Source organism: Homo sapiens, chromosome 20 (assembly GCF_000001405.40).
Source record: "Homo sapiens chromosome 20, GRCh38.p14 Primary Assembly".
NCBI lineage: Eukaryota > Metazoa > Chordata > Mammalia > Primates > Hominidae > Homo > Homo sapiens.
In genome coordinates, this window is record NC_000020.11 from 35,794,208 (window position 1) to 35,821,025 (window position 26,818).

General features: G+C 44.4%; 1 protein-coding gene across 6 annotated transcripts in view, besides 1 other annotated feature; it reads left to right on the top strand.

Moving 5' to 3' along the window:
- The window catches only part of PHF20 (PHD finger protein 20), a 178,356-nt gene that overhangs the window by 22,193 nt on the left and 129,345 nt on the right, over nt 1–26,818 (top strand). For 3 of the 6 annotated variants that reach the window (NM_016436.5, XM_017027868.3, XM_047440181.1), the window contains exon 2: nt 7,284–7,398. In NM_016436.5, coding sequence (NP_057520.2) covers nt 7,316–7,398 — 83 coding nt within the window. In that variant the 5' untranslated portion in view covers nt 7,284–7,315. Of the gene's footprint in view, nt 1–5,886; nt 5,967–7,283; nt 7,399–18,415; nt 18,513–26,818 lie in introns of those variants that run through there. The other 3 variants (XM_047440180.1, XM_047440182.1, XM_047440184.1) reach the window with 2 other exon arrangements.
- Nucleotides 25,240–25,419: an enhancer, noted in NCBI's record as "active region_17798". NCBI's record gives its function as "activates an Ori minimal core promoter by ATAC-STARR-seq in GM12878 lymphoblastoid cells {active_cell/tissue: GM12878}" and the evidence as "EXISTENCE:reporter gene assay evidence [ECO:0000049][PMID:35858748]".

A 26,818-nucleotide genomic window follows, 5' to 3' on the forward strand; every position in this document is an offset into this window, starting at 1 on the left:
GAGAATCTCTTGAACCTGGGAGATGGAGGTTGCAGTGAGCCGAGATCGTGCCACTGCACTCCAGCCTGGGCAACAAGAGCAAAACTCTGTCTCAAAAAAAAAAAAAAAAGAAAAAAGAAATGACCCTTATGTATGTGCTTATCTTGTTTCTTAGCTGCCTTCCCCACTAGAGAACAGGGTCCGGGTGCCTTGTCCTCCCATTGTCTATTTCCAGTACCTGGCACACAGCAGGCTCTCAATGAATATTTCTTGAATGAGGGGGGCATAAAGATTTAAGCTGGTCTTTCACCTGAAGTGTCCCTCAATTTAAAGTGGTTGTATTGAGTTAAAAGGCACTGTCACCCTTTAATGGAGGTTGAATCCCAGCCTTGTGGTGAGCACCATTAGATTATCCCAAAGCCTGTTCTGTAGTTTCTGGTGGTTGGCATTTTATTCCTTGAGAGTCCCAGAGACTTTTTTCCTCGAAAGTTCCAGAGTTTATTTCCCTCTACTCCTGTCCCAGAGCTGATTCACTGAAAGGTCTTGTTCCATACCCATCTATCACTTTTAATTCTTTGTTGTCCCTCTTTTCCCTGAGCACAAAGGGATTGCTGAGGGCAAGACTTCCAGTTACCATAGCGACAGTACTCTTTTGCCTCTCCCAAAATAAAACCCAGAGTCTTTGTCAGTACATTAACTGTAAATGTGATATGAATTCAGAAAATATGGGCGTGGTGGCTCACACCTGTAATCTCAGCACTTTGGGAGGCTGAGGTGGGCAAATCACCTGAGGTCATGAGTTTGAGACCAGCCTGGCCAACATGGCAATACCCTGTCTCTACTAAAAATACAAAAATTAGCTGGGTGTGGTGGTGTGCTCCTGTAATCCCAGCTACTTGGGAGGCTGAGGCAGGAGAATCGCTTGAACCCGGGAGGAGGAGGTTGCAGTGAGCTGAGATTGCACCATTGCACTGTAGCCTGGGGACAGAGCGAGACTCTGTCTTAAAAAAAAAAAAAAAAGGAAGAAAAATCTGCTATCATTTATTGAGTACCTACTTGTTTTTTTTTGAGACGAATCTCACTCTGATGCCTGGGCTAGAGTGCAGTGGTGCCATCTTGGCTTACTGCAACCTTCATCCCCTGGTTCAAGCAATTCTTCTGCCTCACCCTCCTGAGTAGCTGGGATTATAGGTGTGTGCCATGATGCCTGGCTAATTTCTGTATTTTTTTAGTAGAGACAGGGTTTCACCACATTGGCCAGGCTGGTCTCGAACTCCTGACCTCAAGTGATCTGCCCACTTTGCCCTCCCAAAGTGTTGGGATTATAGGTGTGAGCCACTGCGCCCAGCTGACTACCTACTTTGTGTTAGATATTTTAATAGGGGTTTTGCAGACCTTTCTCATTTAATTCTCATAGCACCCACGATAGGGGCCATTATCCCCATATCATAAGTGAAGAAACAGAGCTCAACAATGTAGCTTGTAAATAAACTTGGGGTAAGAATCTGAACTCAGGAGCTACTGGACTGAGGTTCGATTGCTGGCTCAGCTCCTTACTATGTGAGTGTCCTTAACTTTCTTTTTCCTCATCTTTATAATGGGGATTAATATAGTACTTCTGTGATTTTTGTAAGGATTAAATTGGTTAATATATGTAAGTTTAATTATTATAAATTTTTTTTTTGAGACAGTCTCACTCTGTCGCCCAGGCTGGAGTGCAGTCGTGTGATCTCAGCTCACTGCAACCTCCACCTGCAGGGTTGAAGTGATTGTTCTGCCTCAGCCTCCTGAGTAGCTGGGACTACAGGTGCGCACCACCATGCCCAGCTAATTTTTGTATTTTTTAGTGGAGACGGGGTTTCACTATGTTTACCTGGGTGGTCTTGATCTCTTGACCTCATGATCCGCCCGCCTTGGCCTCCCAAAGTGCTGGGATTGCAGGCGTGAGCCACCGCACCCAGACTATACATTTTTTTTTTATGCGGGTTTTGTTAGTTTGGATAAGGTTATTTTACATCTACTCTCTGTAAAGTTAGTTTATATCTTTATCATAGTAGTAGCTTAATAGCATTCTTTATTTAATTTATTACATATTTGTTGAGTTTATAATGTAGTCCTACTGTAATGAATTTTGATTAAATATTCTCTTGTTTTTTAATGGATGAACTACATCCAGTTTGCCCAGAATCTTATGTAAAGAGCTATTGGTTTTTCTCATTTTCACAAATGATTTATTTTTATCCTGGACTGTATTCTTCAGCTTGAAATGGCTGAGTCCAAGAGTATAAGCAGTTCCACAGGTTGTTCTTTGCTTCTAGATTAAGGTATAAAAAGATGGCCATGGTCAGGACCCCAGGAGGTGTTCTAGTGTACCTGTTTCCCCACAGCTGGACCAGTGTTAGGTTTTGTCTTTTCTAAAAAATTAGGTATTTCTGCTTGTTATATAATGGTGTGATAATTTTGACACAACATTTGAAAAGCATCCAGTTGCTTTATCTTCCTGTATTCAAGTTATGTTTATATCTAAAGATATGAATATAAGCATAGCAACGACTTTGGTCAGAGAAAGAGGAAGGACCTTTGAGAAGTACTTTGTCTACTTCTGCGTACATCCTGTTACTTTTGATAAGAGGGATTTCTCCTGCCTCAGAGGACCTTGAAATTGGCTAGCACCTCTGCATGTCAGTTTCCTCCCTGTAACTTAATTTTACTTGTATACCATGGTAACATTACATTAGTCCTAATTATATAATCTGGCAGTTGTGAAGATCCAGTAAATAGTAAAATAGTGTAAGAATTAAATTCTTGCATTTAAAAAATTTGCAGGTTTTTTTTTGGATTTTTTGTAGAGATGACATTTCACCAAGTTGCCCAGGCTGGTCTTGAACTCTTAGATTCAAGCTACCTGCCCCTTGGCCTCCCAAAATGCTGGGATTACAGGCATGGGCCTATACTCAGCCTCCCAAAGTGCTGGGATTATAGGCATGAGCCAGTGTACCTGGCCAAAAATTTGCATATTTAAATAACCTTAAAAGAAAAAAATGGGCCGGGCGTGGTGGCTCATGCCTGTAATCCCAGCACTTTGGGAGGCCAAGGTGGGTGCATCATTTGAGGTCAGGAATTCAAGACCAGCCTGGCCAACATGGTGAAACTCTGTCTCTACTAAAAATGCAAAAATTAGCTGGGCAGTAGTGGCATATGCCTGTAATCACAGCTACTCAGGAGACTGAGGTGGGAGAATTGCTTGAGCCTAGGAGGCGGAGGTTACAGTGAGCTGAGATCGTGCCACTGCACTCCAGTCTGGGCGACAGAGTGAGACCCTGTCTCAAAAAAAAAAAAAAGAAAAAAATATGAAGAAACATAAAGAAGCAACCCCACCACCAGAATAAAATAAAATTTTATCATCTAGATAATTCCTGCTGACAATTACTTCTTTGGTGGTTTTTTTTGTTTGTTTTTGTTTTTTGGCTTTTTTTTTTTTTTGAGATGGAATCTTGCTCTGTCACCCAGACTGGTTTGCAGTGGCACGATGTCAACTCACTGCAACCTCCGCCTCCTGGGTTCAAGTGATTCTCCTGCCTCAGCCTCCTGAGTAGCTGGGATTACAGGTTCCCACCACCATGCCCGGCTAATTTTTGTATTTTTAGTAGAGACGGGGTTTCACCATGTTGGCTAGGATTGTCTCGATCTCTTGACCTTGTGATCCTCCCACCTCGACCTCCCAAAGTGCTGGGACTACAGGCATGAGCCACTGCGCCTAGCCTGGAATGGGTTGTTTAATAGATAGCTTATTGTCCTTCACATGTATAATCCTTTACATTATACACTTGTGAAAAATTTTCATTGTGAAAAACTAAAATTTAGGAAAGTATTTAAGAAGAAAGGAACAATCACCAATAACCTATAACTTATTTTTTTCTTCCTGTCTTTACAAAAGAATCAGTGGCTGGGTACCATGGCTCATGCCTCTAATTCCAGCACTTTGGGAGGCTGAGTCAGGAGGATCACTTGAACCTGGGAGTTTGAGACCAGCCCAGACAAACACATAGCAAGACCCTGTCTCTACCAGATAACAAATTAGCTGGGTGTGGTGGCTTGCACCTGTAGTCCCAGGTGCTTGGGAGGCTGAGTAAGGAGGATCACATGAGCCCAGGAAGTCGAGGCTACAGTGATCCAGGTTTGAGCCACTGTAGACCAGCCTGAGTGACAGAGTGAGCAAGACCTTGTCTCCAAAAAAATAAATTCATATGAGTTTTTTTCTTTTCTTTTCTTTTCTTTTTTTTTTGAGACAGAATTTCACTCTTGTTGCCCAGGCTAGAATGTAATGGTGCGATCTTGGCTCACTGGAACCTCCACCTCCTGGGTTCAAGTGATTCTCCTGCCTCAGCCTCCCAGGTAGCTGGAATTACAGGCATGTGCCACCATGCCTGGCTAATTTTGTATTTTTAGTAGAGACGGGGTTTCTGCATGTTGGTTAGGCTGGTCTCAAACTCCTGACCTCAGGTGATCCGGCAGCCTCGGCCTCCCAAAGTTCTGGGATTATAGGCATGAGCCACCATGCCTGGCCTTTTTTTTTTGTTTTTGTTTTTTAAAGAGACAGGTTCTTGCTCTGTCACTCAGGCTGGAGTACAGTGGCACAATCATAACTCACTGCAGTCTCAACCTCCTGGGCTCAAGCGATCCTCCTGCCTCAGCCTTTTCAGTAGCTGGGATTATAAGCCTGAGCCACCTCATCTGGCTGTGTATGAGTTTTAATGTGAGCTCCATGTGGTACAATTTTGCATCCTGCCTTTTTATGTAATATATTGCAAGCAAATTCTTCATAAAATGTGCTGCTATTAAACATTAGACATGTACTCACTTCTGTGATTTTTTTCCATACTCATTTATTGCAAAGAAAGTGTTCTGGTAGGAGGCAGGCATTGCTCTGGCAGTGCTCTGGCATTGCTTGGGCAGTGTAGGCTGTCAAGAGCCAAAGTATAAGGCTGGATGCAGTGGCTCGTGCTTGTAATCCTGTAATCCCAGCACTTTGGGAGGCCCAGGCGGGAGGATTGCTTGAACCCAGGAGTTTGAGATCAGCCTAGGAACATAGATACTCTCTCTGCAAAAAAAAAAAAAAAAAAAAAAAAAAAAGCTGGGTGTGCTGACGCATGCCTGTGATTCCAGCTACTCGGGAGGCTGAGGCAGGAGTATTGCTTGAGCCCAGGAGTCTGAGGCTGCAGTGAGCTATGATAGCGCCACTGCATTCCAGCCTGGACAACAGAATGAGACCCTGTCTAAAAAAAATTTTAAAAAGTCCAGAGTTTAGTGGGAGGAAAGAGTTAGGCTGGGGTAAGTCTGCTGTAAGGAAGTGGCCTGTTCAAGTGCCCTTAGAGTTCAGAGTGGCTACATGTCCATCAGAACCACCACTAGCTCCTCCGATAGCATTTAGGACCCTGCAGATTAGTAGATTAATTACCTCAGTGATCACAAGAAGTGTTCTTTTTTTTTTTCTTTTTCAAGATGGAGTCTTGCTCTGTCACCCAGGCTGGAGTGCAGTGGCGTGATCTCGGCTCACTGCAACCTCCGCCTCCCAGGTTCAAGCTATTCTTCTGCCTCAGCCTCCCAAGTAGCTGGGATTACAGGCGCCTGCCGCCGCGCCCCACTAATTTTGTATTTTTAGTAGAGATGGGGTTTCACCATGTTGGCCAGGCTGGTCTCAAACTCCTGACCTTGTGATCCGCCTGCCTCGGCTTCCCAAAGTGTTGGGATTACAGGCTTGAGTCACCGCACCCGGCCGGAAGTGTTCTTTTATGGGGGCCACTTTTCTTGTAAATGGCCTAATCCAGTACACCTTTTTTTTCCATCAAAAGGAAATTGGCTTTACTGTTTGGTTCTGATCATAAATATAAATTTTATTCATTGCAGCACGAGTACACGAGACAGGATTGAGAAAGGAGAGATTCAAATTGTGACTTCAGATTCAAAGGCAATTAAAGGAATTAAACGTGAATATTTTTACTGTTTTATTGTTCTATGATTAAAAAAAAATCTGGGTAAAACTTATAGGAAAATACAAATGATCAGAATGGACTCAAGAAGTAGGAAATATAGCTGGGCATGGTGGCAGGTGCCTGCAATCCCAGCTACTTGGGAGGCTGAGGCAGGAGAATCACTTGAACCCGAGAAGCAGAGGTTGCAGTAAGCCGAGATCATGCCATTGCACTCCAGCCTGGGCGACAAGAGCGAGACTCCTCAAAAAACAAACCAACAAACAAAAAAAGAAGTAGGAAATATACATAGATCAAAGAAAGTATAAACAATTCTGGGCGCAGTGGTTCACGCCTGTAATACCAGCACTTTGGGAGGTTGATGTGGGCAGATCACTTGAGGTCAGGTGTTTGATACCAGCCTGGCCAACATGGTGAAACCCAATCTCTACTCAAAATACAAAAATTAGCTGGGTGTGGTGGCATGCGCCTGTAGTCCCAGCTACTCAGGAGGCCTAGGCTCCAGAATTGCTTGAACCTGGGAGGTGGAGGATACGGTGAGCTGAGATGGCACCACTGCACTCAGCCTGGGTAAAAGAGTATGACTCTGTCTCAAAAAATAAATAAATAAACAGACCTCGTACAGCCTTCCAAAAGTAGCACCAAGTATTAATATCTCAACTTTTGTTTGCTTCGTTTTTAATTTTTTTTGTTTTTAAGAGACGAGCGTTTGCTATGTTTCTCAGGCTGGTCTTGAACTCCTGGGCTCAAAGAAACAACTTGGCTCTGCCTTCCAAGTAGCTGGGGCTATAGGCATACATTACTGTGCCTGGCATTTGTTTGCTTCCTTTGTAACTCTTTAAATTTCATTGCAATTACAGTTTGCAGTTATTTATCAGTTTGCTGGCTAAATTTTTGTGTTTCCCCGGTAGACTGAAGGGTTCTTGAGGGCAGGAGCTGTGTCTCTTTTGGTCTTGATTGTTTCCTTAAATAGTCGCTGAGCAAATATTTGTTGAATAATGCATCAGCAGATGACTGAATTTAACTGTGAAAGCAGTTGTTTTTTTGTAGTTCTGAGGGGTGGCCCTTGGCCCTTGTAGGTGAGTGGTAAGCAGTGTTGAGGGAGGGTCTTCTTAGTTCCAGAAACCACAGGAAGCTGCACGATGGAGGAATAGGAACCAGTGGAAGACACACCTGTGTTAGAATGAGGACACCAACAGGGTTTCATGGAGCTTTGTGTTTTGAATAATGCCTGTTTTTTTATGTGTAGTGAATGATGCTACACTCTGGGTGGACTTTGCCTAAGTTTCATAAATATTTAATTGGCTTTTTCAGGAGAATAAAGGCAGCCCCGTTGATGACTGAAAATGACAAAGCATCCACCTAACAGACGAGGAATCAGCTTTGAAGTGGGAGCCCAGTTGGAAGCCCGGGACCGTTTAAAAAACTGGTACTTTTACATTTTTCTGTTAATTAAAGCCCTTCAGTAAAGGATTTTTGCCAGCACTGATAGAGTGGTAGCTTAGGCTTTTTTTGTGGTGTTTTTCTACTTCCTGACTCTTGGAAGATGTGAGGAAATGTCAGTCTTTTCTCTTTGATGCAGGGATCCCAGTGTCAGGGTGACTGTCCTGTAACCCCCTGTATATATTTGTTTCCCCCTTTTGCCTGTTCATCTGAAAGAGTTCTGGGAAAAAGAAGCAGGAATGGCTACAGGGAAGGGAAGAGTTAATAGTGGCAGCTCTCTTGCTCCTGGCTGCCTGTCTGAAAAAAGAGGAAAGATCAGGGATGGAATAGTGAAGAAAAAGGGGTTCGATTGGAGCAGCTCATGTGTTGTGAACACCCCATCCTATTTTCTGGGCATGATCTTGTATGTTGAAATACAGTCATCATGTAAGGGCACACTGTCAGGGTGATTAGGTTCAGAAGCTGAGGGGTTATAGTCCCAGCTGTGTCATTGACTTGTGACCTCTGGCTGGTAATTAGCTGCTTTGTGCATTGGCTTATCTATAAATGTGGGTATTGGTAATATTGACCTCATAGGGTTATTCTGAGAATCAAATGATAGAATATGTAAGGAAAGACCTTATAGACTGTGAAGTGATTGTTGTGGTTGAGGGCATCCTAGAATTTGGTCATTTTTTGGTGCTCAAGGTGAGCGTGGGGTTTTCAGAACTTATACCTCTTTAAGGGTTTTTGTTTTTTTTTTTTAGACAGAGATTCGCTCTGTCACCCAGGCAGATCTTGGCTCACTGCAACCTCTGCCTCCCAGGTTCAAGCAGTTCTCGTGCCTCAGCCTCCTGAGTAGCTGGTATTGCAGATGTGTGCCACCATGCCTGGCTAATTCCTTTTTGAGCTAAAGAAGGAAGAGTTTAACCCTTTTTGAGATTCTTTCAAAATAGATTGATCAGCTCTTCAGGTGTAGGAAGATAAGACAGGAGAAGAGAGGCATAGAAGCAGCTGGTACAGAAAACTGTCTTTGCTATTAGAATTAGGTACACTTGGCTGGGCGCGGTGGCTCACGCCTGTAATCCCAGCACTTTGGGAGGCCGAGGTGGGTGGATCACCTGAGGTCTGGAGTTCGAGACCAGCCTGGCTAAAGTGGCGAAACCCCGTCTCTACTAAAAATACAAAAAATTAGCCGGGCATGGTGGTGCATGCCTGTAATCCCAGCTTCTCGGGAGGCTGAGCCAGGAGAATTGCTTGAACCCGGGAGGTGGAGGTTGCAGTGAGCCGAGATTGCACCACTGCACTCCAGCCTGGGCAACAGAGTGAGACTCGGTCTGAAAAAAAAAAAAAAAAAAGAATTAGGTACACTTGGCCAGTTGTGGTGGCTCACGCCTATAATCCCAGCACTTTGGGAGGCTGAGGTGGGCGGATCACGAGGTCAGGAGTTCAAGACCAGTCTGGCCAACATAATGAAACCCCGTCTTTACTAAAAATATAAAAATTAGCCGGGCATGATGGTGCACGCATGTAGTCCTAGCTACTCAGGAGGCTGAGGCAGGAGAATCACTTGAACCTGGGAGGTGGAGGCTGCATTGAGCCAAGATCGCGCCACTGCACTCCAGCCTGGGTGACTGAGCGAGACTCCGTCCCGGAAAAAAAAAAAAAAGAAAAAAGAAAAAATAATTAGGTAATTAGGTACATTTTCAACACAGTTGTTTTTGGGCTATTTTTTTTTTTTGGAGACAAGAGTCTTGCTCTTTCATTCAGGCTGGAGTGTAGTGGCGTGATCTCGGCTCACTGCAGTCTTTGCCTCCTAGGTTCAAGCAATTCCTCTGCCTCAGCCTTCTGAGTTGCTGAGATTACAGGCATGCACCACGATGCCCGGCCAATTTTTTGTATTTTTAGTAGAGACAGGGTTTCACCATGTTGGCCAGGCTGGTCTCCAACTCCTGACCTCAGATGATCTGCCTGCCTCGGCCTCCCAAAGTGCTGGGATTACAGGCGTGAGCCACCAAGCCTGCCTGTTTTTGGGCTATTTGTATTATCTATAATTAGTTCCTTTTTTGGTTTCAGTATATATATATGTGTGTGTGTGTGTGTGTGTATATATATAATATACTGCGTGTGTGTATATATATTATATATTGTATGTATATATATTATATAAGTAGTATCATACAACTTGTTTTTTTTCTGTGTCTTTGTTTTTTATATTCAATATGTTTTTGTGATTTACCCATACTTAACTCCGCACCCTCCTCGCCCACCCCTGATATAGGGTCTTACTCTATTGCTCAGGCTGGAGTGTAATGGCACAATCATAGTTCACTGTGGCCTCCAACTCCTGGGCTCAAGTGATCCTCCTGCCTTAGCCCTCCATGTATCTGGGACTACATCTTAACTTCTGTATAGAGTTTTATTGTATGAATATACCACATTTTGTTTATCTAGTCCCCTACTAATGGACGTTTGTTTGTTTGTTTATTTATTTATGATGGAGTCTAGCTCTGTCACCCAGGCTGGAGTGTGGTGGCACAATCTTGGCTCATTGCAACATCCGCCTCCTGGGTTCAAGCAGTTCAGCCTCAGCTGGGATTACAGGTGCCCACCTTGCCAAGCTACTGTATGTTTTTTTTTTTTTTTTTTTTTTGAGACGTAGTCTTGCTCAGTCGCCCAGGCTGGAGTGCAGTGGCTCGATCTCTCCTCACTGCAAGCACTGCCTCCTGGGTTCACGCCATTCTCCTGCCTCAGCCTCCCGAGCAGCTGGGACTACAGGCACCCACCACCATGCCCAACTAATTTTTTTGTATTTTTTTAGTAGAGACGGGGTTTCACGGTGTTAGCCAGGATGGTTGCGATCTCCTGACCTCGTGATCCACCCTCCTCGGTCTCCCAAAGTGCTGGGATTACAGGCGTGAGCCACCGCGCCCAGCCTAATTTATGTACTTTTAGTAGAGATGGGGTTTCGCCATTTTGGCCAGGCTGGTCTCAAATTTGTGACCTCAGGTGATCCACCCACCTTGGCCTCCCAAAGTGCTGGGATTACAGGTGTGAGCCACCGCTCCTGGCCCGTTTATTTATTTATTATTTTTTATTGTATTTTTTTTTAAATGGGTGCTTAAATTCCAGTTTTTCACCTGAGACACAGTGCTGTGTGAATGTCTCTTTGTGCACATACACAGACTTTTACTTGGGCAGTGGCTTTTGACCACAACCTACAGTAAGAAATGTATTTTAAATCCAGTGTGGTACTCAACCATATGTACATAAAAATTTATTTTTATTTTGTTTTTATTATTATTTTTTTGAAACGCTGTCGAGACAGCGTCTCACTTTGTTGCCTAGGCTGTAATGCAGGGTCGTGATCTTGGCTCACTGCAATCTCCGCCTCCCAGGTTCAAGCGATTCTCGTGCCTCAGCCTCCTGAGTATGTGGGATTATAGGTGTGTGCCACCATGCCTGGCTATTTTTTTTTTATTTCTAGTAGAGCCGGTGTTTCACCATGTTGGCCAGGCTGGTCTTGAACTCCTGGCCTCAGGCGATCTGCCCAACTCGGCCTCCTGAGTGCTGGGACCACAGGCCAGATCCATGGCACCCGGCCTATTTTTATTTTTCCAGACAAGGTCTCATTCTGTTGCTCAGGTTGGAGTGCAGTGGTGGGAACAGAGCTCATTGCAGCTTTGACCTCCCTTGGCTTAAGCAGTCCTCCTGCTTCAGCTGGGACCACAGGCACATGCCACCACGCCTGATTTTTTATTATTATTATTATTATTATTATTATTATTATTATTATTATTTTGAGATGGAGTCTTGCTCTGTCGCCCAGGCTGGAGTGCAGTGGCGCAATCTCGGCTCACTGCAAGCTCCGCCTCCCGGGTTCACGCCATTCTCCTGCCTTAGCTTCCCGGCTAATTTTTTGTAATTTTAGTAGAGACGGGGTTTCACTGTGTTAGCCAAGATTTACCTCGTGATCTGCCCGCCTTGGCTTCCCAAAGTGCTGGGATTATAGGTGTGAGCCACTATGCCCAGCCACACGCCTGATTAATTTTTAAATTTTTAGTAGAGATGAGGTCTCACTATGTTGCCAAGGCTGATCTCGAATTCCTGGGCTCAGGTGATCCTCCTGCCTTGGCCTCCCAAAATGCTGGGGTTACAGGCATAAGTCACCATACCTGATCTATATAAATTTAACTGAAACACAAATTTTATGAAGTAGTATTTAACCTTAATACATGCATTATACTCTGGTATTTTTTTCAGTTCTTTTTTTTTTCGTTTGGGACAGAGTCTTGCTCTGTCGCCCAGTCTGGAGTGCAGTGGCACAATCTTGGCTCACTGCAACCTCCACCTCCTCCTGGGTTCAAGCGATTCTCCTGCCTCAGCCTCCTGAGTAACTGGGATTACAGGCGCCCGCCACCACACCCAGCTAATTTTTGTATTTTTAGTAGAGACAGGGTTTCACTGTGTTGGCCAGGATGGTCTGGAACTCCTGACCTTGTGATCTGCCCTCCTCAGCTTCCCAAAGTGCTGGGATTACAAGCGTGAGCCACCATGCCTGGCATTTTTTTTTTTTTTTTTTTGATATGTCTCACTCTGTTGCCTAGGCTGGGGTGTAGTGGTGCAGTTACAACTCATTGCAGCCTTGACTTCCAGGCTCAGGTGATCCTCTCACCTCAGCCTTCTGAGCAGATGGGACTACCAGCACATACCATCATGCTAGGCTAATTTTTTGTATTTTTAGTGGAGATGAGGTTTCACTATGTTGGCCAAGCTGGTCTTGAACTCCTGACCTCAAGTGTTTCACCTGCCTCGGCTTCCCAAAGTGCTGGGATTACAAGCGTGAGTCACCATGCCTGGCACATATTTAGGTTTTTAATCCACCTGGAATTCATTTTATGTGTAGTATGAACTTGTATCTAATTATTATTTTTTAATTCAATGAATAACCAGTTGCTCCAATATCATGTTTAGAATAGTCCATTCTTTCCCTATTGACCTGCAATACCACTTGTATGTACTAAGCCTCATATTTACATAGGCCTGTTCTCAGATCTTTAGTCTATTCCATTGATTTATGTTTACTCCTGTGCTTGTAATAACACATTATTTAATTGATATTGCTTTAACATAACTCTTGATATCTGGTAAGACAGGTTTTATTTTATTTGTTGTATTCTTAGACCTTTACTCTTTTTTTTTTTTTTTTTTTTTTGAGACGGAATCTTGCTCAGTCGCCCAGGCTGGAGTGCAGTGGCACGATCTTGGCTCATTGCAAGCTCCGCCTCCCGGGTTCACGCCATTCTCCTGCCTCAGCCTCCCGGGTAGCTGGGACTACAGGTGCCTGCCACCACGCCCGGCTAATTTTTTGTATTTTTAGCAGAGACGGAGTTTCACTGTGTTAGCCAGGATGGTCTCGATCTCCTGACCTTGTGATCTGCCCGCCTTGGCCTCCCAAAGTGCTGGGATTACAGGCATGAGCCACTGCACCCGGTCAACCTTTACTCTTTAATGTGAATTTTTGTAGTATTGTTGAGTGTCTTGAAAAGTGTTTTTGGAGTTTTGAAGTAAATTGTATTTAATTGGTATCTTGATAAAAAGTTTTCATTCATGAAAATACATCTTTATACTTATTCATGTTTTACTTTATGAACTTTAGTGATGTTTTATAACCTCCATAAAGATTTTGCATGTTATCTGTTAGATTTATTCCTAAGTACTGTCTAGTTTTTGTTGCTTCTATGAATGGATCTTTTTTTTTTTTTTTTTTTTGAGATGAAGTCTTGCTCTGTCACCCAGGCTAAAGTGCAGTAGAGCGATTTGGGCTCACTGCAACCTCCGCCTCCCAGGCTCAAGCAGTTCTCCCTGCCTCAGACTCCCGAGTAGCTGGGATTACAGATGCCCGCCACCATGCCTGGAATTTTTGTATGTTTTAGTAGAGGCGGGGTTTTGCCATTTTGGCCAGGCTGGTCTTGAACTCCTGACCTCAGGTGATCTGCTCACCTCGGCTTCCTAAAGTGCTGGGATAACAGGCGTGAGCCACTGCACCTGGCCAGATCTTTATATATATATTTTTTCTCTTTGGTTATTGCTGGCATGAAGGAATATTGTTAACCAAATTCAGTATGTGGATTTTATATAGTTTGAAAACAAAAGCAGACTGCTTAAAAAAGATTTATGACATTTATGAGATTGTTGGAAGTTTGAACATTGATTGGTTATTTGATATTAAAGAATCGTTAACATTTTAGATGTGGAAGTGATATTGTAATTTTGTTTTTTAAGAGTTCTTATTTCTTAGAGATTATATACCTACATTTATGAATAAAATGATACATTGTGATTTGCTTCAAGATAATATGAAGATTCTGTAATTATATGCAGTAGGAAGAAAAAGGAGATAATATGAAGGGGGAAAAGGGTGGGAAGATAGAGGAAGCAAAAGCGGCCATGTGTAATGGGTACATGAGTCTTTATTGCTATTGAGTCTTGTATCTGGTCTTACACAGAAACCTTTCTCCATTTTCATGTTCATCTTAATGGTTCTTTTGGATTTTCTACATAGACCATCATGTATCTGCAAACAACTGTTTTGCCTCTTCCTTTCCAATCCTCTGCTTCTCATTTCTTTTCCTTTCTTCCTTCCTTACTTTTTTTCTTTCCTTCCCGTTTTCCCTTCTGTGTTCATTGACTAGGATCATAGCAGCAAGATGTTAAATGACAGTGATGATAGCAGCCTTCCATAGTTTGTTGTTTGACTTTAACAGGAACGCATCCGAGAGTTCACCATTAAGTATGATGTTTATCATAGGATCATAGTAGATGTGTTTAGTCAGATTAAAGAAGTTCATGCCTATTCCTTGTTTGCTGGAAGTTTTTTTTTTTTCAGCCTGAGTAATGTTGAATTTAATGCTTTTGGGCATCTAATTAACTGGCCATGCGTATTTTCCCCTTTAATCTTCATTTATTTATTTATTTTTATTTTTATTTTTTGAGACGGAGTCTCGCCCTGTCTCCCAGGCTGGAGTGCAGTGGTGCATCTTGGCTCACTGCAAGCTCTGACTCCTGGGTTCGTGCCATTCTCCTGCCTCAGCCTCCCGAGTAGCTGGGACTACAGGCGCCCGCCACCACGCCTGGCTAATTTTTTCTATTTTTAGTAGAGACGGGGCTTCACCATGTTGGCCAGGATGGTCTCGATCTCCTGACCTCGTGATCTGCTCGCCTCGGCCTCCCAACGTGCTGGGATTACAGGCGTGAGCCACCGCACCTGGCCCCAATTTTTTTTTTTCTTAACCGTGTCTTTATGGAAAAGAGGAAAACGTTATGGCCATCTTGTACAAATTTCTAGGAACAAATTTTAAACTTAACATTTGGCCAGATGCAGTGGCTCATGCCCGTAATCCCAGCACTTTGGGAGGCCAAGGCGGGTGGATCATGAAGTCAGGAGTTCAAGACCAGCATGGTGAAACCCCGTCTCTACTAAAAATACAAAATAAATTAGTTGGGTGTGGTGGCACATGCCTATAATCCCAGCTACCCCTGAGTCTGAGGCAAGAGAATTGCTTAAACCTGGGAGGTGGAGGTTGCAGTGAGCCAACATCACGACGCCATTGTACTCCAGCCTGGGCGACAGAGCAAAGCTCTGTCTTGGAAGAAAAAAAAAACAAAGTTTCAACTTAACATTTAAAAGATATTCTGGGCCTGGTGTGGTGGCTCACACCTGGAATCCCAGCATTTTGGGAGGCCAAGCCTGGTGGATCACCTGAGGTCAGCAGTTTGAGACCAGCCTGGCCAACATGGTGAAACCCTGTCTCTACTAAAAGTACAAAAATCAGTCAGACATGGTGGTGTGCGCCTGTAGTCCAAGCTACTTGGGAGGCTGAGGCAGGAGAATCGTTTGAACCTGGGAGGCAGAGGTTGCAGTGAGCTGAGATTGTGCCACTACACTTCAGCCTGGGTGACAGAGCAAGACTTTGTCTCAAAAAAAAAAAAAAAGATAATCCAGCTGGGCATGGTGACTCATGCCTGTAATCCCAGCACTTTGGGAGGGTGAGGTGGGAGGATTGATTGAGTCAAGGATTTCAAGACCAGCCTGGACAATATAATGAGACCCTGTCTCAAAAAAAAAAAAAAAATTCTGGGCATGGTGGTACATGCCTGAAGTCCCAGCTACTTGGGAGGCTGAGGCAGGAGGACTGCTTGAGCCTAGGAGTTTGAGGTTGCAGTGAGCTGCAATTGTGCTGATAGCCGCAGGTGGCAGTCAAATGCCTAGGCAGATAGGGACAGTTCCCTGGTGAAACCTGACTGTCAAACCAAGGACAGTTTGTTTGTTTGTTTATTTATTTTTTGAGACGGAGTTTTGCTCTTGTCGCCTAGGCTGGAGTGCAGTGGCGCGATCTCAGCTCACTGCAACCTCCGCCTCCTGAGTTCAAGCGATTCTTCTGCTTCAGCCTCCCAAGTAGCTGGGACTACAGGCAGGTGCCACCACACCCAGCTAATTTTTGTATTTCTAGTAGAGATGGGGTTTCATTATGTTGGCCAGGCTGGTCTCAAACTCGTGACCTCAGGTGATCTGCCCGCCTCCGCCTCCCAAAGTGCTGGGATTATAGGCATGAGCCACTGTGCCTGGCCTCCAAAGACAGTTTAAAGCCTGAAAGCCAAGCTACAAGTCCTGGGTAAATCCACGGACTGGATTGAGAACCTCTCTTCCAGTTCGGCAAGGTTTCCTCTGATTGATCCCCACCCTTCACCTGTTTTACATGTATTTACTCTTCCCTGATTGGTTTTTTACACTGTCATGCCCACCTTTGAGTGACGCCTTTGTTTTAGCCTTTTTGTTATATGCACAAACCAATCAGCATACATTCCCCATTCTGAACCCATAAAAGCCCTGCCACACTGAGAGGGAGACTACCTGTCTTCAAGTGGGAGAGTACCCTCATGTGGGTGCTCTTATGAGCCTCATTTTAGCAGTAAGAAAAAGGAGTCTCAGAGAGATGAAGTTATTTGCCCAAGGTCACACAGTGGTAGGACTAGGGTTTGAATCAAAGTAGACTGAGTTCATAGCATTTTTGTAATAACCAAATTTCTCCAGAGTGTCTGAATGTTCCTGACTCCTAAATCAAAAAACAAAACAAAACAAAACACTGGAAAATGCATTCTGATTATGTTCACCTGATTTCCTAATCTAGAGTACTGGACATTTAATTGTTTGGTAAAATCTTTGACTTTGAATGCTTTGCCAAAAACAATGGAGCGTTTGTTTTATTATCTCTAGACTGAAAGTGGTTATGTTTTCACCCTGGTAAGTGATTTGCTTACATTATAGTAGATAGTATTGCTGCAAGGTACAACCATATTTTTTGTGTGTGTCTGTGTCTCTCTGTGTGTGTATGTGTGTATTTTCAGTCCATTGAAATGAAATGTGTGGGAATTAGGTTCCACTTTTTTTTTATTTTCATTTTTTTGAGACAGAGTCTTGCTCTGTCGCCAGGCTGGAGTGCAGTGGCGTGATCTCGGCTCACTGCAACCTCCGCCTCCAGGGTTCAAGCGATTCTCCTGCCTCAGCCTCCCGAGTAGCTGGGACTACAGGTGTGCGTCACCACGCCCAGCTAATTTTTGTATTTTTAGTAGACATGGGGTTTCACTATGTTGGCCAAGATGATCTTGATCTCTTGACCTCATGATCTGTCCACCTCGGCCTCCCAAAGTGCTCACATTACAGGCGTGAGCCACCACGTTGGGCTAGGGCCCACTTTTTAATTGCTTATGTCCTTGTGACTTCTTGCCTCTGAATCCTTGAATTATTTGTTCTTATTTTTGGGCCCTAAAGAAACTAAGTCCCAGCTTTTTTTTTTTTTTGAGATGGAGTTTTGCTTTTGTTGCCTAGGCTGGAGTGCAATGGCACAATCTCGGCTCACTGCAACCTCTGCCTCCCTGGTACAAGCGATTCTTCTGTCTCAGTCTCCCAAGCAGCTCGGATTACATGCATGCGCCACCACGCTCAGCTAATTTTTTTTGTATTTAGTAGGGACAGGGTTTCACCATGTTAGGCTGGTTGAGAACTCCTGGCCTCAGGTGATCCACCTGCCTTGGCCTCCCAAAGTGCTGGGATTATAGGCATGTGCCACTGTGCCCGGCCCAGTCCCTGCTTTTTATTTATTTATTTATTTTTATTTTTTAATTTTTTTGAGACGGAGTCTCGCTCTGTCTCCCAGGCTGGAGTGCAGTGGCTCGATCTCTGCTCACTGCAAGCTCTGCCTCCCGGGTTCCCACCATTCTCCTGCCTCAGCCTCCCGAGTAGCTGGGACTACAGGCACCCGCCACCACGCCCGGCTAATTTTTTTGTATTTTTTTAATAGAGACGGGGTTTCACCGTGTTAGCCAGGATGGTCTCGATCTCCTGACCTCGTGATCCACCCGCCTCAGCCTCCCAAAGTGCTGGGATTACAGGCATGAGCCACAGCGCCCGGCCCCTGCTTTTTATTAAGAAAATTTTCTAACATAATGAAAAGTTGAGAGGACATTATACCTTCCACCTGTATTCACTAATTGTTAACCCATTTGTTTTATATACTTATTTAATTTAGCAATAATTTTATAATATCTAATATCCAGAGATATTCAGATGTTCTTGTTGTTCCAAAAATGTCCCTTATAGTATTTTTCCAGACAGGATCCACATTACTTTTTTATTTTTATGTCTCTTTAGTTGCTTTGATTCCATGATAATCTTTCTTCTTCCCGGGAGGCAGAGCTTGCAGTGAGCAGAGATCGAGCCACTGCACTCCAGCCTGGGAGACAGAGCGAGACTCCGTCTCAAAAAAATAAAAAAATTTTTCCCCTTCACAACATTATTTGTTTAATTTTTAAGAGTTCCGAACAGTTGTTTTTTAGAATGTCCCACATTCTGGTTTAGTCACATTGTTTTATCATGGTGAGTTTAACTTGTTTCTTGTATTCTCTTCTATTTCCCGTAAACTGGAAATGAGGTCTAGACTTCAGATTAAACATTTTTTTTGCAGAGTGTTTCAGTGGTAATGCCGTGTGTTTCATATTGCATCACATCGGGGGACACATAAAGCTAGGTCGTCCCACTGTTCCGTGTATCACTTGGATAAGGTAATGACTTCCATCTCTCACCATTATAAAGGTGTATTTTTCCTTGTGCAAGTAGTAGATAATCTGTGGGGATACTCTGGTACGTGTCAATATCCTATTATCCCCCCACATCATTTACCTAATGATTTAGCATCCATTGATAATCCCTGCCTGAATCAGTTATTACTCTGGAGATGGAAAAATGGTAATATTCTAGTTTTGTCATTCTGTTATATTAGGTGATGTTCTTCTGTACGAACAGCTTTCATTTTTATTATTATTATTTTTGATACAGAGTCTCCCTCTGTCGCCCAGGCTGGAGCACAGTGGTGCGATCTTGGCTCACTGCAAGCTCTGCCTCTCAGGTTCACGCCATTCTCCTGCCTCGGCCTCCCGAGAGCTGGGACTACAGGCGCCCGCCACCACGCCCGGCTAATTTTTTTTGTATTTTTTAGTAGAGACTGGGTTTCACCCTGTTAGCCAGGATGGTCTCGATCTCCTGGCCTCGTGATCTGCCCATCTCGGCCTCCCAAAGTGCTGGGATTACAGGCGCGGTGAGCCACCGCGCCCGGCCCATTTTTATTCTTTTAAAGTGCACTTAGGAATAAGATTATTGAGTGTGGTGGTGTAGTCAATTCCATTCATTATTATTAATTTTGTGCTAAAATTATCCCAAATTTGTCCAGTGGGATGCTGTTTAAACTAGCTCCTTTGTTCTTTTGACAATTCCTGTTAGTCCCTTAGCATTTTCTTGTTTTCTGGCACTACTAGAAACCCCAAACTTACTTTCTACTTTTCTTATCCCAGACCCTGGACGCAGCTGGTTCTCCAAGGCTTGGTTTCTTTAATTAGGAAAGGGTATTTAGAAATTGACCTCTGAGCTGGGCACGGTGGCTCACGCCTGTAATCCCAGCACTTTGGGAGGCCTAGGCAGGTGGATCAGAAGGTCAGGAGTTCCAGACAAGCCTGGTCAACATAGTGAAACCCTGTCTCTACGAAAAATACAAAAATTAGCCAGGCGTGGTGGCACGCACTTGTAGTCTCAGCTACTCAGGAGGCTGAGGCAGGAGAATTGTTTGAGCCTGGGAGGTGGAGGTTGCAGTGAGCCGAGATAGCGCCATTGCACTCCAGCCTGTGTGTGAGCCAAGATCACACCATTGCACTCCAGCCTGTGTGTGAGCCAAGATCACACCATTGCACTCCAGCCTGGGTGACAGAGTGAGACTCCGTCTCAGAAAAAAAAAAAAAAAAAAAAAAAAGGAAATTGACCTCTGAGGTTGAGGCTGCAGTTAGCTATGATCACACCACTGCTTGGGTGATAAGAATAAGACTCTATCTCTAAATAAAATAAATAAATAAATAAATAAAATAAAACATTGGTTTTTAAAAAAAGAAATTTAGCTCTGGGCACTGGGTGTGTTTATTGCTGCTAGGATGTCATTGTCTTAAACAACTTTTTAGTAGATGGGGGTAAGAAATCTATTTTTTGAAAAAATGTGAGTTCACTTTGATACTTCCAATTTATTTATTTATTTTTTTGAGATAGTCTTGGTCTGTCTCCCAGGCTGGAGTGCAGTGGTACGATCTCGGCTCACTGCAACCTCTGCCTCCCTAGTTCAAGCAATTCTCCTGCCTCAGCCTCCCAAGTAGCTGGGACTACAGGCGCATGCCACCATGCCTGGCTAATTTTGTATTTTTAGTAGAGATGGGGTTTCACCCTCTTGGCCAGGCTGGTCTCGAACTCCTGACCTCAAGTGATCCGCCTGCCTTGGCCTCTCACGGTGCTGGGATTACAGGCGTGAACCGCTGCGCCCGGCCTATAATATTAAATTTAAGTTGGAAATATCAGGCCTGGGTAACAGAGTAAGACACTGTCTCAAAAATAAATAAATAGGCCGGGCGCGGTGGCTCACGCCTGTAATCCCAGCACTTTGGGAGGCCGAGGCAGGTGGATCACGAGGTCAGGAGATCGAGACCATCCCGGCTAAAACGGTGAAACCCCGTCTCTACTAAAAATACAAAAAATTAGCCAGGCGTAGTGGCGGGTGCCTGTAGTCCCAGCTACTTGGGAGGCTGAGGCAGGAGAATGGCGTGAACCCGGGAGGCGGAGCTTGCAATGAGCCGAGATCCCGCCACTGCACTCCAGCCTGGGCGACAGAGCGAGACTCCGTCTCAAAAAAAAAAAAAAAAAATAAAATAAATAAATAAATAAATAGGCCATGCATAGTAGCTCAAGCCTGTATTCCCAGCACTTTGGGAGGCTAAGGTGGGCGGATCACCTGAGGTCAGGAGTTTGAGACCAAACTGGCCAACATGATGAAACCCCGTCTCTACTAAAAATACAAAAATTAGCCGGGTGTGGTGGCAGGTGCCTGTAATTCCAGCTACTCGGGAGGTTGAGGCAGGAAAATTGCTTGAGCCAAAGGAGGCAGAGGTTGCAGTGAGCTGAGATTGCGACACTGGACTCCATCCTGGGTGACAGAGGGAGACTCTGTCCCCCGAAAAATTATAAATAAATAAGTAAATAAATAGATGAAACAAAAAGAACTAACATAGAATATGCATGGTGTAACTATGCTAAATGAAACTCAAAATATGGCCAGACACGGTGACTCATGCTTGTAATCTGGGCACTTTGAGAGGCTGAGGTGGGCAGATCACTTGAGGTCAGGAGTTGGAGACCAGCCTGGCCATTATGACGAATCCATGTCTCTACTTAAAATACAAAAAATTAGCTGGACATTGTGGCATGTGCCTGTAATTCTTTTATTCTTTTTTTTTTGAGGCAGAGTCTTGCTGTGTGTCTCCCAGGCTGGAGTGTAGCGCGAGTGATCTCAGCTCACTGCAACCTCCACCTCCCTGGTTCAGGTGATTCTCCTGCCTCAGTCTCCTGAGTAGCTGGGACTACAGGCGCATGCCACCATGCCTGGCTAATTTTTTGTATTTTTAGTAGAGGCAGGGTTTCACTGTGTTAGCCAGGATGGTCTCGGTCTCCTGACCTCGTGTTCCACCCGCCTCAGCCTCCCAAAGTGCTGGGATTACAGGCGTCAGCCACCGCGCCTGGCATGCCTGTAATTCCAGCTACTTGGGAGGCCTAGGTAAGAGGATCACCTGAGCCCAGAAGGCAGAAGTTGTAGTGAGCCAAGATTGCAGTTGAGACTCTGTCTCAAAAAAACAAACAAACAAGCAAAATCGTTTTGGAAATACATATATATTCCCCCTCCAGCTTTATTGAGATATAATTGACAAAAGGCATTTATATATTTGTTTATTTTTGAGATGGAGACCCGCTCAGTCCCCCAGACTAGACTGCAGGGGCTGGATCTCAGCTCACAGCAACCTCCATCTCCGGGGTTCAAGTGATTCTCCTGCCTCAGTCTCCTGAGTAGCTGGAACTACAGGCACGCGCCACCATGCCCAGCCGATTTTTGTATTTTTAGTGGAGGTGGGGTTTTACCACGTTGGCCAGGATGGTCTCGATCTCTTGACCTCGTGATCCACTTACCTCAGCCTCCCAAAGTTCTGGGATTACAGGCGTGAGCCACTGCACCCGGCCCGAAAATCTTTGTTCCTAATCATACTTTAACCTACTTGCCTTATTCTGTGTTATATGTGAAATAGTTTTAAAGTTACAATATCAATATTACTATTAACAAGTATACTGAGTGAATTTTAAGGATTTTTTGACATTTGAAAAATGTATATCTTACTCAGGACAAATTATATTTGATTTATGTCATAAACTTTTTTTAAGTTTTTTTTTTTTTTGAGACGGAATTTTGCTGTTGTCATCCAGGCTGGAGTGCAATGGCGCAATCTCCGGTCACTGCAACCTCTGCCTCCGGGGTTCAAGCGATTCTCCAGCCTCAGCCTCCCATGTAGCTGGGAATACAGGTGCCTGCCACCACACCCAGCTAATTTTATTTTGTAATTTTAGTAGAGTTCGGGTTTCACTGTGTTGGCCAGACTGGTCTTGAACTCCTGACCTTATGATTCGCCCGCCTCAGCCTCCGAAAGTGCTGGAATTATAGGCGTGAGCCACTGCGCCCGGCCGATTTATGTCATAAACTTAATCCAAAATTAAATGAGTTTTTTTTTTTTCTTCTTCTTTGAGATGGAGTCTTGCTCTGTTGCCCAGGCTCGAGTGCAGTGGTGCAATTTCGGCTTACTGCAACCTCTGCCTCCTGGGTTCTAGCGATTCTCTTGCCTCAGCCTCGTGAGTAGTGGGATTACAGGCGTGCACCACTACGCCTGGCTAATTTTTTGTATTTTTAGTAGAGACATGGTTTCACCATGTTGGTCAGGCTGGTCTCGAACTCCTGATCTCATGATCCACCCTCCTTGTCCTCCCAAAGTGCTGGGATTACAGACGTGAGCCACTGCGCCTGGCCATAAGTGTTGTTGTTGTTTTTTTTTAATCTGTTATGTGAACTAACAGTTCTTTCTTTTTTTTTTAAATACTCCTACAGTCTAATTTTATTTCCGCATTTATTTATTTATTTATTTGAGACAGAGTCTCATTCTGTCACCCAGGCTGGAGTGCAATGGCGTGATCTCAGCTCACTGCAATCTCCGCCTCCTGGGTTCAAGAGATTCTCTTGCCTCAGCCTCCCAAATAGGAGGGATTACGGGCCCCTGCCACGGCGCCCAGCTAATTTTTGTATTTTTAGTAAAGATGGGGTTTCACTAGGTTGGCCAGGCTAGTCTTGATCTCCCGACCTCAGGTGATCCACCTGCCTCGGCCTCCCAAAGTGCTGGGATTACAGGCGTGAGCCACCACGCCAGACCTATTTCTGCATTTAAATTATTTTTGGGGCCAGGCATGGTGTCCCACACCTGCAATCCCAGCACTTTGGGAGGCCAAGGTGGGCATATTGCTTTGAGCTCAGGAGTTCAACGACAGCTGGGGGCAACATGGCAAAAACCTGTTTCTACAAAAAATAAAAAAGTTAGCTGGGTGTTGGTAGCTCCTGGCTGTAGTCCCAGCTACTCAGGAGACAGGCTAGAGAATCCTTTGAGCCCGGGAAGCGGAGGTTGCAGTGAGCCCAGATCGTGCCACTGCATTCCATCCTGGGTGACAGAGTGATACCCTGTCTCAAAAAAATTTAAAAAATAAAATTATTTTTTGGCCAGGTGTTGTGGCTTATGCCTGTGATCCTAGCATGTTTAGAGGCTGAAGTAGGCAGATCACTTGAGCCCAGGAGTTCAAGACAAGCCTGGGCAACATGACAAAACCCCATCTCTACAAAAAAATATAAAAATTATATTTTTATAATTAAAGTATAAATTTAATTATAATTAAATTACAGGCATGGTGGCTCACACCTGTAATCCCAGCACTTTAGGAGGCCTAGGTGGGCAGATTACTTGAGTTCAGGAGTTCGAGACCAGCCTGGCCAACATGGTGAAACTCCGTCTCTACTAAAAGTACAAAAAAAATTAGGCGCATGCCTGTAATCCTAGCTACTCAGGAGGCTGAGGTGGGAGGCTTGCTTGAACCCAGGAGGTGGAGGTTGTAGTGAGCCGAAATTGCGACACTGCACTTCAGCCTGGGTGACAGAGCAAGACTCCGTCTCAAAAAACAAAACAAAACAAAACAAAACAAAAAATTAGCTGAGGTGGAAGGATTGCTTGAGCCTGAGAGGTTGAGGCTGCAGTGAGCCATGATCCTCCTACTTCAGCCTCCTGAGTAGCTGGGACTACAGGCATGTGCCGCCACCCTTGGCTAAGTTTTGTATTTTTTGTAGAGGTGGGGTTTGCCATGTTGCCCAGGCTGGTCTTAAACTTCTGGGCTCAAGCAGTGCACCCACCTCATCCTCCCAAAGTGCTGGGATTACAGGTGCCTGGCCTAGCATTTTTGAGACAGAGTTTTGCTCTGTCACCAAGGCTGGAGTGCAGTGGTGTGATCATAACTGTAGCCTGGTACTCTTGGGCTCAAGTGATCCTCCCACCTCAGCCTCCTGAGTAGGCTGGGACTATAGGTGCATGCCACTGCACCTGGCTCATTTTTGTATTTGTTATAGAGACTGAGTCTCGCTGTGTTGCTTAGGCTGGTCTCAAACTCCAGGGCTCAAGTGATCTTCCTACCTTGGCCTCCCAAAGTGTTGGGATTACAGGCATGAGCCACTGCACCTGGCCTATATTCTAATTTTTAATCTACCACTTTGGGGTGAACTTTCAGCATGTCCATTTTCTTCTCTGTAGAAGGGGTAATCCTGCCTTCCCTGTTTTTGTTTTGTTTTGTTTTGTTTTGAGACAGTCTTGCTCTGCTGCCCAGGCTGGAGAGCAGTGGCCCTATCTCGGTTCACTGCAGCCTCCATCTCCTGGGTTCCAGCGATTCTCCTGCTTCAGCCTCCTGTGTAGCTGGGATTACAGGCATGCACCACCACACCCAGCTAATTTTTGTATTTTTAGTAGAGACATGGTTTCACCATGTTGAACAGCCTGGTCTCGAACTCCTGACCTCAGGTGATCTGCCCGCCTCAGCCTCCCAAAGTGCTGGGATTACAGGCGTGAACCACTGTGCCCAGCCCTGCCTTCCCTATTTGCTTCCTGCGTTTTATAGATGAACTAAAATCTGAGAGGCTGCAGTTTCCTAGTAGTGATACTTGGTGGATAGAATAGAATCTGCTTGCTCTGCTGCCTTCGCCTTCTTCCTGTCATCTGTCAGGAGTGTGCCATCTGTTCCAAGAAGTAGGCTGGCCTTCCCTGTTCTTGCTCCAAACACAACGAAAAAGCTCCTTCTGTTGCTTTCCTGACACTCTGGTACCTTTCCACTACTGTGTTTCTATTTAAGTTGATCATAGTTCGCTTCCATTTCTTGTACAGAAGATTTAAAAATCTGAGTTTCATAATGTCCTTAGATCATTTTTGGTTTCTTTTTCATTAGGGTTATTTGTACTGATCTCATCTGAGTTTCTGGTTCATACCTCTTTACTCCTTACACCATCTGTGTGTGTGTGTGTGTGTGTGTGTGTGTTTTTAAGCAATCTTTTCTGAGCTTTCCACAAACATGTATTGAATGCTGTGAGTCAGGTGGTACACTAGGTGCTATGAAATGAAGGAAAATAAGTACTTCAAGATGTTCAGAGACGAGTCAAGTATTTGGCTTTGGTTTTTAGTATTGATAGCCAAGGGTCGTTAATCATGTATTCTAATGCTTATGTCTTTGCTAGTGACTCACATTTATTGAGTGATTTACTCTGTGCCAGGCACAAATCTAAAGGCTTTATATGTTATACCTCCTTTAATCCTTTAGATGCTATGAAGGGGGTACTTTTATTCTACTTTATATATGAGGAAATAGAAGCAGAAAGCAGTTAAGTTTTCCAGTGCTATGTAGCTGTAAATGGTGAATTTAGGATTTGAGTCTAGCTAGTTGGCTTCTGAGCATGGTCGGGTGTGGCTTTGATCCCCACGCATGTGTTCAGTACCTAGAATAAAGTCCCTGAAATTAAATATATTATGAGGAGATATTTACTCTGTACAAAGTTCATTTACAAAAACCCCTAGGGGAGAATAGTTAATTTCATATGTGGGAATTTCAGAAGGCTTCAGAAAGATGACTTTTGATGCCAAGTCATTCATTCAATGCTAGATGCTGGAGAAATAGTGGTGATTAGGACAGACATAGTCCCTGATCTTTAGAAGCTGACATTCCAGTGGAGGTGGATAGAACAGAAACCAGCAGACTGATATATATAGATAATGTTAGGTGGTGATAAATGCTAGAAAGTGGAATAAGTACTTTTTTTTTTTTTTTTTTTGTGAGATGGAGTCTCACTCTGCCACCCAGGCTGGAGTGCAGTGGCATGATCTTGGCTCACTGCAAGCTCCGCCTCCCAGGTTCACACCATTCTCCTGCCTCAGCCTCCCAAGTAGCTGGGACTACAGGTGCCTGCCACCATGCCCGGCTAATTTTTTGTATTTTTTAGTAGAGATGGGGTTTCACTGTGTTAGCCAGGTTAGTCTCGATCTCCTGACCTCGTGATCTGCCTGCCTCAGCCTCCCAAAGTGTTGGGATTACTGGTGTGAGCCATCACACCTGGCCAGAATAAGTACTTTCAAGTGGGTAGAGTGCCTCTATGTGTGTATGTGTTTTGCTTTTTTTATATAGAGGGTGAACAGAGGAGATCTCTCTGACAGACATTTAAATAGAGTCCTAAAGTAAGTGAGGGAGTGAGTCATGTTAGTATCCAGAGGAGAGAGGGTTGCAGACAGAGGCAGCCAAGGCAGAAGCCCTGGCGTAGGAGCAAGCAGGGCATTCAAGCAATAATAGGTAGGAACATGTGGCTGGGAGGGTAGAGAGTGAGAGGCCAGAGGTAGGA